The 15,654-nt window shown below is 33.6% G+C and overlaps 1 pseudogene across 1 annotated transcript in view; it reads right to left on the reverse strand.

Annotated features, from left to right (window-relative positions):
• Positions 1 to 545: 545 nt before the first annotated feature.
• The window catches only part of ANKRD20A21P (ankyrin repeat domain 20 family member A21, pseudogene), a 42,705-nt pseudogene continuing 27,596 nt past the window's right edge, over positions 546 to 15,654 (reverse strand). Inside the window, exons 8-13 of the transcript XR_002958558.2 lie at positions 15,250 to 15,278; positions 15,087 to 15,158; positions 9,083 to 9,153; positions 4,861 to 5,024; positions 3,298 to 3,491; positions 546 to 2,134 (exon numbers count right to left, since the gene is read on the reverse strand). The product of XR_002958558.2 is annotated as an ankyrin repeat domain 20 family member A21, pseudogene (transcript). The remainder of the gene's footprint in view (positions 2,135 to 3,297; positions 3,492 to 4,860; positions 5,025 to 9,082; positions 9,154 to 15,086; positions 15,159 to 15,249; positions 15,279 to 15,654) is intronic.

Below are 15,654 nucleotides of genomic sequence, written 5' to 3' on the forward strand. Positions count from 1 at the left end.
AATGGCCTTTGAGATCCTAGGTAAACAGGCCTTTACCTCCCTCTCTGACTTCAGAGCTCCTACAACTCCCTCCTGTGATTACTCCATTCCCACTGTACGTGAAGCCTGCCACCCCTCAGTCTGAACATAGGGATCTAATGCCTAACTCATAAATCACAGGCAGCTACAAGTATCTTTCTACTGAACAAAATTATATTCCAATGATAGTCATTGAGCCTTGAAATAAAAATTATCAGCTAATTATTAATATAAATATTCAAAGTAAACTATAAATACCAGTGGGAAGACTAAACCAAATATAGATTTTCTAAATATTACCACATGTATCCTAAATTATGATTTTATAACAAGTAGGTGCCTTTAAAATATTACATAGTCATAAAAATATGTAATTTGACATATTTTCAGATTTGTTAAATTAATATGAATAATAACAAAGATATACCAACTAAAATACATAAAAAGCTACTTAAAGCAAGGTATTACAAGACACAGCAATACACTTCAGTTCATCTGGGAAATCTAGAATTAAGTGTCGAAGAAAATCAATTAAATTTTAATTTGAAAATACTCATTTCAGGTGTAAACATTTCCATTTATACCTATATTATGGTCTTAACATGTGGCAACATAAAGTCATTAAAATTATTATTTCAGCAGTACAGAACTATCTACCTTAAAATATGACTTTGTGCCTAATAAAATTTCATAGGTGACACAATGTCTTTTCTCAAAGTAAATCATCTCTCACCTCTACCTTTTATTTCCTAGAAATGAGGCATGTTTCTAAGATGGCATAGTAAACACATTTTTCCTTTTTTTATTAAAACAGCTTTGTTGAAATATAATTTACATACTATAGAATGTATCTGTTTTAACTTAAAGTTAAAAGATTTTTAGTACATTTACTGAGTTGTGCAGCCATCTCTACAATCCAACTTTAGAGAATTTCCATCACTGCAAGATCCCTCACGCCCATTAGCAGTCACTACCAGCTTCCAGCCCCAGCCCTCTACAAACATTAATCTACTTTTTGTCCCTATACATTTATCTTTTCTGGATGCTTCATGTAAATGGAATTATACAGTATGGTAAACACACTTTTATCCATTGATTTTTATATTCCACTAAGTTCAACATGTATCCAGAACCAAATGTTTAAATTTTCTTTCTAGAAGTTTGAAAATATTTATCTTCCTTGATACTTACTACTCTTTCTGCTTTCTCTCTCTCATATTGAAAGAGACTTTCTTTTAAATGATCACATTCATTCATTAGCTTCTTATTTTTCTCTTCTAGCATGAGGTCTGTCTTTCCACTCTCAATAAAGCCTCTTTGGATATTAGTTACTATCTCTTTATGATCCTTTTTCTGATGAACATCATCTAGTTGCTGTTCAATGCATGGATTTTTATATTGGAGTTGACATATCCTGTCTTCTACAGAGCCCCACTTTCCAGTGGAATTACTCACTTTAGCTTCTGCATTTTGATACATCTCTTTCATTTCCTTTATTTGCTGCTGTGTTTGGCTTAGGTCGTTTTGGACAGTTTCTAAAGCCAATGACTTTTTTCTGAGAGTATCTCTTGTCTTACGGAACTTATCTTTTAAGGTATTGAATTTAATTTGTGTTTTAGAAAGTTGTTCAGTAAGAAACTCATTCTTATCTTCTACTTTGGGAATATCAGAACTCATTTTTACTTGTACGGAAACATCTCGTGTTCACTCTAAAGCAAGTTTTAGGTTTCTTTCTGTTTTCACACTTTCACTATGTTTACTTATAGCAGCAGCCAGTCTAGACTGATAAGATTCAATTTCAGCTTCCAGTCTTTTGTTGCTTTCTTCTTCCTTCAACAGTTTGGAATTGAGCCTTGTATTCTCAGCTTTGAGATCATTAAGCTCTTGTTGATACCGGAATGCTGTTTTTGTTATCAATTCCTCATTGAGTTTTATATAGTTTTCAAGGGCAGCATTTGTTTTTTTTAACAATTTTAACGTCCTTAAGATATTTATTTTCTTTTTCCAGGTTGTCATTTTTCATTGTGCATATTTCCTGTCTGAGTATAGCAATATCTGCCTTCAAAATGCAATTTTCATCCATCAGATCTTTTATTTCTTCGTGATTATGAAAATCCTAAATAAAACAAAAGAAACTTTTAGCTAGTACTCAATAAAATAACATATCATGATTACCTCTGAAGTTAAAGAATAACCTGCGCATCCATACACTAAAAAGGTTACTGTAAGTGGATGTCCAACTAGAGAAAAAGTTGAAGCAAAACTTTGAACCCTATAGAGCATAAATTCCAAAAAGTTTAGAAATTTATTTAAAAGTCAATGAATTTATAAAAGTAAACACGTATACACACATGCACACCAGAGAACTTTTAAGAATTTCAGAATTGGAAAAGCCTTTCCCGGAATTACAACAAACTCAAAAGCATAAATTAAAGCATTAACAAATTTGACTAAATTAAAATATATCAAAAAATTGCATTTACCCTTTGATATCTAACTCATACACCATCCTATAGTAAGAACCTTAGTTCACACGTATTTGGACAGATAAAATTTCCCAGAGTTATTACAGTTCTGTTTCACTGATAACATTCTATTTCAATTTGACTCTTTTAACACTTTTATACTCAGTTGTAAGAATTACATTTACTAAATCATAAATCTAGACATTATACTAGTCACTCCTATATACATTCATTGATGAACTCATCTAGTTACCACAATTTTGAAAAGAAATGTTGAAAATATAAGCAAGCTACAGAATTTTCCCCAGGACTTCTGACTCTACTTCTAGTTCTCTGACAGATCACAGTTACTTCTGTGGTGTAAATATATCAATACGAAAGAAAACTTTTATTTCAAAACACCAGTGGTAAATAAGATAAAATTTATAGAGCTCTTCTTAGAATATCATGAGATTATTTGTGATTGCAATAATTTGTTTCCTCTTTATAATATTAGGTACAGTAATCAATATGAAATAGGGAGAAGTACAAGGAACAATTTTACTGGGAACAAAATCTTTATCAATAGGTTATCACTAAGTATATATTATGGCATAATATTGTTTTCAAAAGCTCTTTGTAATAAAATAATAACCTACATGGATGCCAAGATTTATAATAAATATTAATAATTGTACCTGTAACTGTCATCATTCATTTTTTTAAAAATGAGATAACATTTCTGGTTTGTTTTAGACCTAAATATTACATATTAAATCAAGAGGATATTATAAGTAACATTGATAAAATAAAGTTTAAAATATAGAATTTTTACCAAAGATTGATTTATCTGATTTGGAGTATTTCTTGCAGTCTTCGGTTTCATCTCTAGTGATTGAACAGCTGGTTCAAGTTGTTTTGCTTCAACTTCTTTCTTATATTGTTTCTCTTTCCTTTCTAATTCTTCTCTATTTTTTGTACAGCATATTAACATTTGTCTTTTCTTCATTTTCTTGTCTTAAGATGCAGCTACAGATAAAGACATTTATCTGAAAATTCATTTTGTTAAAAAATAAAGAGATCATCCTGTGATCTACCTCTGCAGATGCTCTTTATCATCCTAATAAAATTTCTATATTCTGGATTATTTTTCCTTTGTAGTTCTCAGATATTTAATTTCTCACTTCAACATCTTCAAAAGAATGCATATACTTGAAAAGTAGTAAGGAAAGAATATTCTGCTAAAGTTTTTGTTACTAGTCACTCTAGTAAGTATTATAAAAAAGGATACTGGAAATAATTCAGTATAGTTAGAAGTTCAAAATTACCTTTTCAAATCACACAGTCATAATTACTCCCTGATTAGAAAAGGTCATTTACAATCAACTAAATTTTTAAAGTTACTATTTATTGACAAGCATATAAGTTCACTAGAAATAAATTTTTATCTCTATGAAATATTGCGGGTGTCTCTCCAAATGATTTACAGAGTAAGATGTCTCTCACACAAACTATATTTGCAGATGATTGTCATCTAAAACTAGGTTAAAGAGTCTAACATCTGTTTCCCCACACTTTTTATAATTCTTTCTTAATACTTCCAATTCACCTTCTTATTACATATATTTTATATATTTATTAAGCTATTGTTCATTATGTGTAATATATAATTAATGCCCTTAATGTGTGTATGTTTACACAAGTTATGTTTTCCTGTGAAATCTAGTCCCAGAAGTGGAGTTGTTGAGTTAAAGGGATGTCAGGTTATTTGAAATTTTGATACACAGCACTAAGTTACCCTTCAGAAATAATTTACCAATTTCATATATGAACAGTGTATGAGAATGCCTTTTTCCTCACATTTTCAATGGTAGTAATTACTTTTTCAATATCAGCATGACTTTACTAAATATATCTTATTTTATATTAATTTGCATTTTTCTGATTACCAGGCAGGGCTAAATATCCCTGGTAAAACTGTAAAACTTGTTAATCATAAGGAACATTAGTCCAATTTTGAATTAGTTTATAGCACAATGACAATTATCTGCTGAGAAATACTGCTATCGGTGGCTGGGCACGGTGGCTCACTCCTGTAAACCTAGCTCTTTGGGAGGCCGAGGTGGGCAGAACACCTAAGGTCAGGAGTTAGAGACAAGCCTGGATAACATGGTGAAACCTCATTTCCACTAAAAATACAAAAAATTAGCCAGGCATGGTGGCACATGGCTGTAATCTCAGCTACTAGGGAGGCTGAGTCAGGAGACTCACTTGAACCCAGTATGCATAGGTTGCAGTGAGGTGAGAACACACCATTACACTCCAGCTTGGGCAACAAGAGAGAAACTCCATCTCAAAAAAAAAAAAAAAAAAAACACACTGCTATAGGCTTACTCACCTATCGTGCTCTTCCTTCAGTTTCTTGGGAAATTGCTGAGGATACGTTTTCCCAATCTTTCTTTGTTTGGTTAATCTGTCAGCAACAGCAGAAGATGTACTATGATGTACATTTTCTGATACTTGTATTTTTTCACTTTTGTTTGTATTATTTCCTTCTTTGACCTCTAATAAAAGTAATATGAATAATAATTGTTATTATTTCATTCAATAAAAAACTTTTTCCCTGATTTTTTCACTTGATTCAGGTTAACTATCACCATTTTAATGATAAAAGTATTTTGTGCTTACTTTAATTTTATCATTATACATAATTATTATAATTATAATATACTCATCATTTTATCATTGAAATTTTTGTCAAGTCTTCTCATTTCTGTTTGTGTGAATGGAAGAATTTTCCAAAATTTCAAAAAGAGCTCTTCTCCATTTTGTGTTTTTATTCCCATCCACTCTTTGCTATCTGATATAAGTGTTTATGCTATCTGACTGGCAGAAACAGAGAAATAAAAAAACACAGGCATAACATATATCTTCTGTCATTGCCACCTGGATTTTACATGAAATAGCCAGATTAAGAGGATGTGATCTTGTAGGGCTTCAGGAACAGTAAAGAAGTTTTCCCTTTTCTGCACTGAGCTATTCTTTTCCCCACTGCCTTTTATCTCTCTTTTTTTTTTTGAATCCTGTGATATCAAAAAAGTGAAACTTCTCCCTGAACTATGGGAACCAAAGTTTGCCACAACAGAAGAAGCAGAGTGAAACTGCTGAGTTTCTAGTGCAGAATTCTGGAAAACGAGATGCTTCCCAGATTTCACATTCAATTACCACAAACGTTTATAGGTGGAAAACATACGGCACAGTTATCTACTTTAGTCCCATTATCTATTGAAAATGGGAGTCAAACCAACCAAGACATATGAAACGTTTCATCCAGAGCTCTTGAGGTGGCATTCTCTAGCATTTCATGGCACCAAATAACATGATACAATTCCATATTGCTGAATGACATAAATTACCAGATAAATTTATCAAATTAGTCAGATATATTAAAAGTCTAACTTGAGCAAAGCAATTTAACGCCTCAGAGGGTGGAAAAAGGCCTCATCTGCTTTTATTTTGAAAGAAGAAAATCTCTAGATTTTTGTCTATCTTTAGAACACAATGTACAGAACTCAACTTTCTACTAAAGAGTCAAAGGCTAAATTTTTAGCTAAGAAATTATGCTTCTTACATGATAAAAATCATACATGCCAAAACTTACCATACTTTATTAAACAACATAATGCAAGGTCTGATTCAACAGAAATATTGGAGTGGTGATTTTTTTAAATATGTGGAAATATATATTTGTTTTCAAAGTATTGGAAATAACCATGATGGAACTATAAATTCAAATAGTTTGAGCTAAGCAGATATACTTACATGCATGAAAACTCATTAAACAGACTCATTTGGCTGGGAATATTCATTGCAACCCTCAAGGCTAGACGTGTTTTTGTGGCTCATCTCAGTCATTGCTTCCCTCCCATTGTATCTCCATTTTATCATTAAATAAATGTAATTCATCTCTAAATGAATACAGAAAAAAGAATCTAGAATCTAAAGCTTATTTCTTTAGCAATTTCTTTATGTTGATCTGGTTCAGAACATCACAAGGTGTATGGCTGAATTAGTTTCCCAGCTCATATGCCACTTGGAAGACTGAGAGTGAGACTTAGGTTGATTAATGAACAAACATTATGAGAACATTCTCCAGAACCATTGTTTAGATAACAGGACTAATCTACTTAGACACATAATTACACATTTAGAAAATCCCACTGTAACTGTACACATGAGATTTTCTTGAATGGAAAATTTGACTAAATCAAATAATTGATAAAGAGAAAAAAGAAGCAGCAAGTGAACCTCTGTCTTTTTGAAGTTGGATTTTCTTTTTCTCCAAATCCAGGAACTCTACTTGTAACATGCCTACCTAATTCTTTTTTAGTATTATTATACTTTAAGTTCTGGTACATGTGCACAATGTGCAGGTTTGTTACATATGTATACATGAGCTATGTTGGTGACCTTGGAATATCTTGCTGTAAGTCTTCTAGCTATATTTTTGATGTTCTCTTACTATGTGGCAAAGAATAAGCCACATTTTATAATTCAAGATTCATGCTTTTGTAGTTATTAGCACTGGGACTGTCATATAGTGGCTTCTGGAATAAGCACTGTATTGGTTTTCTGATTTTACAAGTATCTATAGCAGCAGAAATCCTGTGGCTTTGTATCTGAATCATATGCTTCATTTCTTTGGGGTGGGTAAACCACAAATCAAAAAGACTTTCTGGATCTCTAGACTGAGGCCAATGCCTAATGTCTAATTTCCAATTAGTGATATTTGGGTTTATATTTTTTGCCATTTGCATGTCAAACTCTTAATCATCTTTCATTCCAATCATAATTACTGGGTTCCTTACTTTTCCAGTTTCTGTATCATAACAAAAATTTTCATTATCTGTATTAGAAACAAGCTATGTGTCTGGTTTGTTACCATTTTTATAGTCTGATTTATTTTAATTTAAATGAAGCTTAGAAGATAACTGGTAAGTGTATTTCAGGGACCTGCAGTGAGAATGGAATAAAAAGACATTTGACATGGGCTTCCTCTGTTCAGGCGCTGCCTGGACTGTCACAGAGTTAGATCCTCCAGATGCATTTTTCTCCTCACAATCAGGGACATGATTCATCAGTTTAGAGGGCACTCCTTTTTTGTTCATCCCTCTTTGGAGTTACTATGTAGGAGCTCTTCCTCAGGGCAAGCAGTAATTTTGGAGTTTTCAAAACTTTTACCAATATTCAGCTTGAATTTTTTTGTAATGAATTTTAAAGAAAGTCGTGAATATATAGATAGATTCCCTTTATCACAATTCTTACCCAGTTCTGGTTCTTGCGATTTTTTTTTTGGGGGGGGGGGGCAGGTGCAAAATGGAAAACAAATTTGCTTGTTTTGTTTCTCAGATGTCTTTTCTGTCAGAGTGCATGTTTTAAAATTAGCTTTAATCAAGTATAAACAAATAAATATTAGAAAATAATTAAATTTTAACTGTGAAACTTAATCTGTGTGTTGCTACTCTTAAATTATGGGATTGTAACTAAAAATTGAAAAATAATTTGCCTTGGCTTAACATAGGACAGAAACATGAACCAGCAAGCTGAACTATCAGCGTCTGTTTGTACTAAACTTAATGCAATATGTGTAAAATCTACCAGAAATGAATTCAAAGATGATAGGTAGTATTATAAAAGCTTCCTCTCTTACAAAGACTTTACCTCAGCATACCAGAAAGAGTGAGCCCCTACAATGCATGTTTGTTTCTGAAGATTAACTAGAGCACTAGGCAAACACTAAATTATTAAGAGCCAAACTGAACACCAATAAGAAAGAGAAGCAAAATTTTAAATTCTAATTCAAATGATATACTATGATAGTGTTATGTATCTAGATAGAATTTCTGCTTATATCCACTTCTAATATATTTTATGTTCCAGTAGTGACAAGGTTTGGATTTTTTAAATTTTAGTAATATTTACTATGTATTTATGTTGAAATAAAGTTATTGTTTGCACCCTGACACCAAAGGTCCCATTCTGCAAGGTAGGATTCTCTTAATAGGCAACTGGGTTGACTTTTATGACCCCATTCACTCCCTGAACACAGACACAGAAGTCAACTGGTGACCACGAAAGAGAATAAATCTTTAAACTCGGCACTGGTGACCAGCAATATAAAACTGCAACATTTGAACCACTGGCAACGATGACTCCTTTAACACTACTTTAACTCAGTGGACATTGTTGTTAAACTGTTCATAATTTCTATTCCTTAATAATATGACCCAATATTTCATGTTACCTTCTGTATTATGAGTAAGGTTATACAAATAAAAGAGCAAGATAATTCTGAAAATTTCTTGCCTCAATTCCAAGGGTAAAGACAGCTATGAGTTATTAGAGTTAGTAAGAATTACTAGAATAACTAGTAGTTACTAGAGATAGTAAGAATATTTTAAGTTTCATAACTGGTTAAAATGTTTTAAAAATTAAATATAAAATTATGATCTATTGGATTGTAAAGGTATAGTCTAAAAGGTCATATCATTTGGACTATGCTTTGTTACTAAAGCAAAAAAAAAACTAATATTAAACAAGAAACTTAAATTTTCATATACCTGTGGTTGCTTCTTTTCACTTCTTTCACACCTTCCTTTCTCTTCCTCTGAAGCCACTGGTAAGGCTTGTTCTGTTGACAAATTCACTGGTTTAGTTCAAATGAACTAAGAAGAGTTAGATAAAGACTATAATCTTTATAAAAATAAATAAAGAATAACATTTCTTTATATTTTGAGAGTTTAAATGAAGCTTAATGTTTACTGAAATATTTACTTCTGTAAGAAATACTTCTAATTATCCAAAACTTCAACAAATCACTTGGGGAGACACTAGATATCACCAGATTCAAACCATACAAAATCTCAGGGTCACTCACAAATTGTTCCACCCAACGTAAGTGAACAAAACTGTTGGAAACAAAACAGAATTTTGAAATACAGTCAAAATACACAATGTAACACTTTACTATACCTCATAACAGTATCTTTTTAACAAGATACTAATTGAGTTGGCAGTTACTAATAATTTGCAAAATTATCATTGTTTATATCTCAATTAGTGTGCACCCCATTTTTTACATCACAAATGTTTTCCCCTGCTATTCTGAAAAATTTATTTTCATCTTTTAAGACTCAGAAAGTAGGCTTGGCATAATAGCTCACATCTGTAATCCCAGCACTTTGGAAGGCCAAAATGGGAGAATTGCTCAAGGACAAGAGTTTAAGACCAGCCTGGGAACCATAGGTAACCTTGACTCTACAAAAAATTAGACAGGTATGGTGATATGTGCCTGTTGTCCCTGCTACTCAAGAAGTTTAGGTGAGAAGATCCCTTGAGCCCAGGAGTTTGAGGTTGCAGTGAGTCTCAATCATGCCATTGCACTCCCTCCAGGGTAATAGAGTAAGAACTTGTCTCCAACAACAGAAAAATAAAAGGCTCAGAATGCTATGTGAAGTATTCCTTGATTTTAACTATCTTTCTCCAAACAAACAGGTGTCTGCTTTGTTGGGGTCCCTTAGCACTTTGTCAATTTTTCTAGTGTCACTTTACCACCTGAACTGCACATCATGTCTTTACATGTTGATCCCCTTTGCTGCCAGACTGTAGAGGACAATCTTTTGAATCATGTTTGTATAAATAGTCTTAATTTTGCTAAATAATTAGTTATTGAGCTCCTGCTAGGTGTTAGGCACTGGGGAATAAGGAAGGAAAATAAAAGCTGTCAGGGATGGCTTTCCTAAAGATCATGCATGAGCTGAGACTTAGAGATGAGGTTAGCCAGATTAAGTGAGGCAGAGGGCAGGAAAGAGTGAGCACATGCCAGGAAGCAAAGAGAGAGAGAGAAGCCTCCAAGAGAGTACGTATTTCTCTGCAGAAGAGGAATGGTAAGGGGGCCATTACAAGCAGCTCAGTAATTCTAGAGAAAAAGGCAGATGGGGAAAGGGCTACAGATGGAGATTTGGGCAGAAATCACTTTCCTTTCTTTTCTTTTTTGGGACAAAGTCTTACTCTGTCTCCCAGAGTGGAGAGCAGTAGCATGATCTCGGCTCACTGCAACCCGGCCTCCCAGGTTCAAGTAATTCTCCTGCCTCAGCATCCTGAGTAGCTGAGATTACAGGCACGTGCCACTACCGCCTGCTAACTTTTGTATTTTATTAGAGATGGGGTTTCATCTTGTTGGCCAGGCTGGTCTTGAACTCCTGACCTCAAATGATTCACCTGCCTCAGCCTCCCAAAGTGCTGGGATCACAGACATGAGCCACCGTGCCCAACCCAGAAGTCAGTTTCTGAAATCCTTATATAAACCTTTAAGATGCTTGGACATTAGGTATTCAGGAGTGGTTCACGGATCTATTTGCATTAGGGATAATTCACTCTAAATACTGTGAGGAGCATAAAATTCTGAGGCATATAAAGAAATGAACAAAGATAAAATATAAGGCAATGTTGCAAAGATGATGCAGGCCTGAGGAGATGTTTTCAGAAATATTTAGGATATAGGTATCAGTGGCCATTATAAGAATGAATTTCTATTGAAAGAATAAATGTATATATCTGGGTCCCTGGAGAAATACACTCTGCTCATTACTTTACAAATTTTATCAAATGAGAAGTAAAATAATATACATAAACTCTTTCAGTTACTTGTATTTACTTTACACTTTTTCTGTTTCAGTTTTTTGGGTTTTGTGGTGGTTGTTGTGGTTGTTGTTGTTGTTGTTGTTTTTTGAGATGGAATTTCACTCTTCCTGCCCAGTCTGAAGTGCAGTGGTGTGATCTCAGCTCATGGCAACCTCTGCCTCCTGGGTTCAAGCGATTCTCCTGCCTCAGCCTCCCAAGTAGCTGGAATTACAGGCATGTGCCATCATGAACAGCTAATTTTGTGTTTTTAGTAGAGATAGGTTTCTCCATGTTGGTCAGGCTGGTCTCAAACTCCCAACCCCAGGTTATCTGCCCACCTCAGCCTCCCAAAGTTCTGGGATTACAGGCACGAGCCACCGCACCCAGCAACATATGGGGATTTGTTTTAAAAGTTCTGTTTCCTGGATCTACCAAGCTCATGAGAAAATAGAGCAAACAAGTCATTTGCATAGGTAAGAAACTTTGGATTTATAGCTTGTCATCACTACTCTAGAAGATTATCATTATGTTTTGCAAAACAAAATGTTAATTACAGACATAAGGGGAAAAAAATTAAAACTATAGGGGTGGGTGAAAAAATATTGCATAATTTATTACTGTTGACCTCATCATATGACTGATTAAGGGCACTGAATTTAACTTGTATGTGAAGTAGACCCCATATTAGCTGCAGTTAATCAGTAGACCAGGTGTTCTAGCAGAATTAAATTTGATGCTCCTGTGTTATCTTTAAATGACACAGCTTTTCTGAAAACCCATACTCGTAGTGCATGATTATCCATTAAGAAAAGGTGATGAAATATGTGAATACAGCTGAGGAGACACCACAAAGCAAATGCTCAATGGTTCCCATTAATATTGGGAAAATCCACACTATAAAACAGAGAGCCATAGACATTATTTAATATTTGGTTTTGGAAGGTATTTTTAGTGACTCTGCATACAGTTGTACCCAATAATTGCTAAATTAGAGACGTAAAAATAAAACAAAGGCACATTGTGTTTGAGTAGGAAATCTGTAGATATCTAGGTGGTTTTCCCATCCAGCCACAAAATTCTAAATATAATCATGGTACCTGCACTCAAATTTATGTTAAATACCAACCTCAATGAAATCACTCTTTCTTCTCATTCTCTTTGTTATTTATATGTTGTTTTCCTTAAGGGAAGAATAGAAATGCCTTGCTAAGAACCATTCTGTTTGGTTGTAGGCTGCATAAAGGGAGTAAACACAAAGTACATTTGACCAAAAAATGACTATTAAATGTCAGAACTATGGTAGCATGAAGCCAAACGAGGTAATCTAGAATAAAATTTTCTATGCTTCTTTCCCTTCTTTGCTCTCTTTCTACTCTAATAACTGCGATTCACACAGGTAATGAAGAGTGTAATTCCCTGATAGAAACACAGCTCCAAGATTAATCCTTTCTTTAACTATGAAGTTCACGTGTCCAAAATCTGTGGTAGTTGCTGTCTGATTTTTGATCACTGATGGTGATACAGATATTTATCATCAACTCACAACTTCCCAAATCTTTGAAAAGTCTTACTATTGATGATTCAACTAGTAGAAACATGATGTAAAATATCTGAAAATAAAGTTTTTATTTATTAGAATGTAAATAATAATACAAATTGTAATAAGGTGTAAAAGTTCTTTCTTCACTGAAGCAGTACCATGTTGTCCTGTACCCCACAAATGCACTACTCCCCCATGGTCTAATGTATTTTAAAAGTCCTGTAATTGCTATTAACTCAGACAAGTTTACTTAACTTGTTCTAAGCTTCTCGTATTTACTACAGTTTACTTTCAATCACTCAACCATCTCTGTTATATATGTTGTTTTCCATGAGAAATTTGTTTATTAGTAATTAAGATTCTTCAGGGATAAGAAAATATTTGAATAACTAAGTTTGTGCATAAACACATTAAGGTCAAATACCCATGATATTATTGTGTGTTTCTGTGTACTAGAGACAAAAACTTCAAAAAATATTTTAATGAATATACGTTAAATTAAAAACTGCTTTCATTAAACTGAGATAATCTTCCCTCAATGCATGAATACCTTCAGAATTCACATAGACCAAAGAATTGTATAAAATATAATAGCCTTAAAAATCTTATTTGTAGATGGCACAGTGGCTCCCACCTGTAATCCCAGCACATTGGCAAGCCGAGGTGGGCAGATCACCTGAGGTCAGGAGTTCGAGAGAAGCCTGGCCAACATGGTGAAACCCCATCTCTACTAAAAATAGAAAAATTAGCAGGGTATGGTAGCACGTGCATATAGTATCAGCTACTCGAGGGGCTGAGGCAGGAGAATTGCTTGAACCCGAGAGGCAGAGGTGGTAATGAGCCAAGACTGAGCCACTGCACTTCAGCCTTCGTGACAGAGCAAGACTCTGTCTCAAAAACACAAACAAACAAACAAAAAACCTAATTGTTCCCATATAAGTCTATGTTCACACAAGATCTGAAGAGCACACAACACCGTGAGACAGGACAGACATATATTTTAAAAGTTATATTCCTGGTTTCTGTAAAAATAAAACAGTTGAATTTAAGCTTTCAAGACAAGTCAAGGAAAAGAGCAAAAAATGCAAAAGTTAAACTCGAAAGGTCATTTCCCCGTCAAGGGCTCATGATCACTGGACATTCACAAACTATAGTGTTCAAAACATTAGTTCTGAATTTTGATCCGAGTATCCCTTTAGTAGCTGTTTCATTCAAGGATGTCCAAGAGGTAAAATAAGACAATATCATTTGCTATTTTCAGTTTTCTTTTCTGAGAACAGCCCAGCATTCTTTTTCAGAGAAATGAATTGTCCTAACTTCATAGGCTAAAGGCTCATGAGTCATAGTTCTAAGGGCATTAATAAAATATAGTGGTGCATGCTTGTATTCTGAACTTTTCAGGTTTAAACTCTCATATAGTAAATGCTAATAGATACAAACTGATTAAAGAAAAGCCCTCTTAATCTGACATTATTTTTATTTTTATTTCTTCATTTATCAGCAACAGGAGAGTCTAACTAAATGTGGTAAACTGGTATGAGGGAATACAATGAACAGTGTAAAATGAATTAAACCAGAGATAATCACACCAGTGTGGGTACAAGTGTAAAATATAATACAAAACACACCAAAGAAAGTGGCAGAAAGGTATATAAAGCGTATAACCACTCACGTACCATTTTAGGACACAAAAAATTCTGCATATTATTTCTGAGCATCACAATGTAGTTAAAGATTTCAAAAAGGCATTGAAATGAAAAACAACCAACTTATGATGTTGGTAGCCTCTATGCAATCATGTTTTAAAAACTTTAACACCAAAAAGTCTCAAAATTACCATTTTAAAAGACTGTGTCTACCAGTTATAAATGAATCATTACTTTCGTCATTTGTAATAGTCAAAGATGCCACAAATGCACGCATACACACACCTATATATACACCTACACACACAGTCTTGCTCGTTAGAACATCTGATAGGCTTCAGATCATCAGTGTAATAACACTAGCAACAAGCCTCTAAAGTTAAAACAGAAACTGACACTTTAAAAAGTAAAACTTTCGTCTAGGTAAAGATCAGAACTCCAACTAGCACTTAACTCACTGGAAATATCTTAAGAGTCTCAAAATTCACTGCTTTGAATCCCTGACAAGTATAAAAATTTTATACTGAAAACTTCATGCTATTCAAAACATTAAAACAGAAACATCTGACTTAAAGCTTACATTTTTAAAATCTTTTTTATGCTTCTAAATTTGTTTTTATTCAAATACGGATACCAACAATAACATTTATGTCAATGCCTTCTGTTCAATATTGAACAAATAGAATTAGGAATAAGAATAATGTGAGTACTTCCAATCATTGAATGTACTTATTTCCAGTATCCCATTAAATGTACCTGCTCTCAATGTCTGTACATCCTTTTTTGTACTGCTCCTTTCACAGCATGATCTTCCACTTCAGTGCTAGGCTGAATGGGTTTTAAAAGAAAATGATTCATAAATCATATATATTTTATACAACATGGAGTTAGTGATTCAAAAATATACATAATTAATTACTTTCAAGGAAGGATGTTTTGCAGGAGGCCCTACAAAGCAAAGGGGATATGTCATCAATTATATGTAAGTATGACAGGGCCAACCAAACATTCATGCAGTGTTACTATTGAGTTGAATTCTCAGGCATGGCTATAAAAATAATTACTTAAGGTTTTGAGGGTTCTTCTTGGCTTCTTGTTTTCATTGCCTAGGACAGCAACATGACAGAAACACAATGAGGAAAATAGGAATATAGGATTCCTAAAATGCACAGTTTACATTTCAGTAGTGAGATTATGTTTCAAATGCCTATACTTAAAATAGAAAAGCATTGATATAACCGTGAACACGTGGACTGATGAGGAGAAAAGGGACCATTAAACAGAGGGGCAAATCAAACCTGAGGGAATCAATGTCAAAGCTGAT

The sequence above is a fragment of the Homo sapiens genome, chromosome 20, assembly GCF_000001405.40.
Source record: "Homo sapiens chromosome 20, GRCh38.p14 Primary Assembly".
Taxonomy (NCBI): domain Eukaryota; kingdom Metazoa; phylum Chordata; class Mammalia; order Primates; family Hominidae; genus Homo; species Homo sapiens.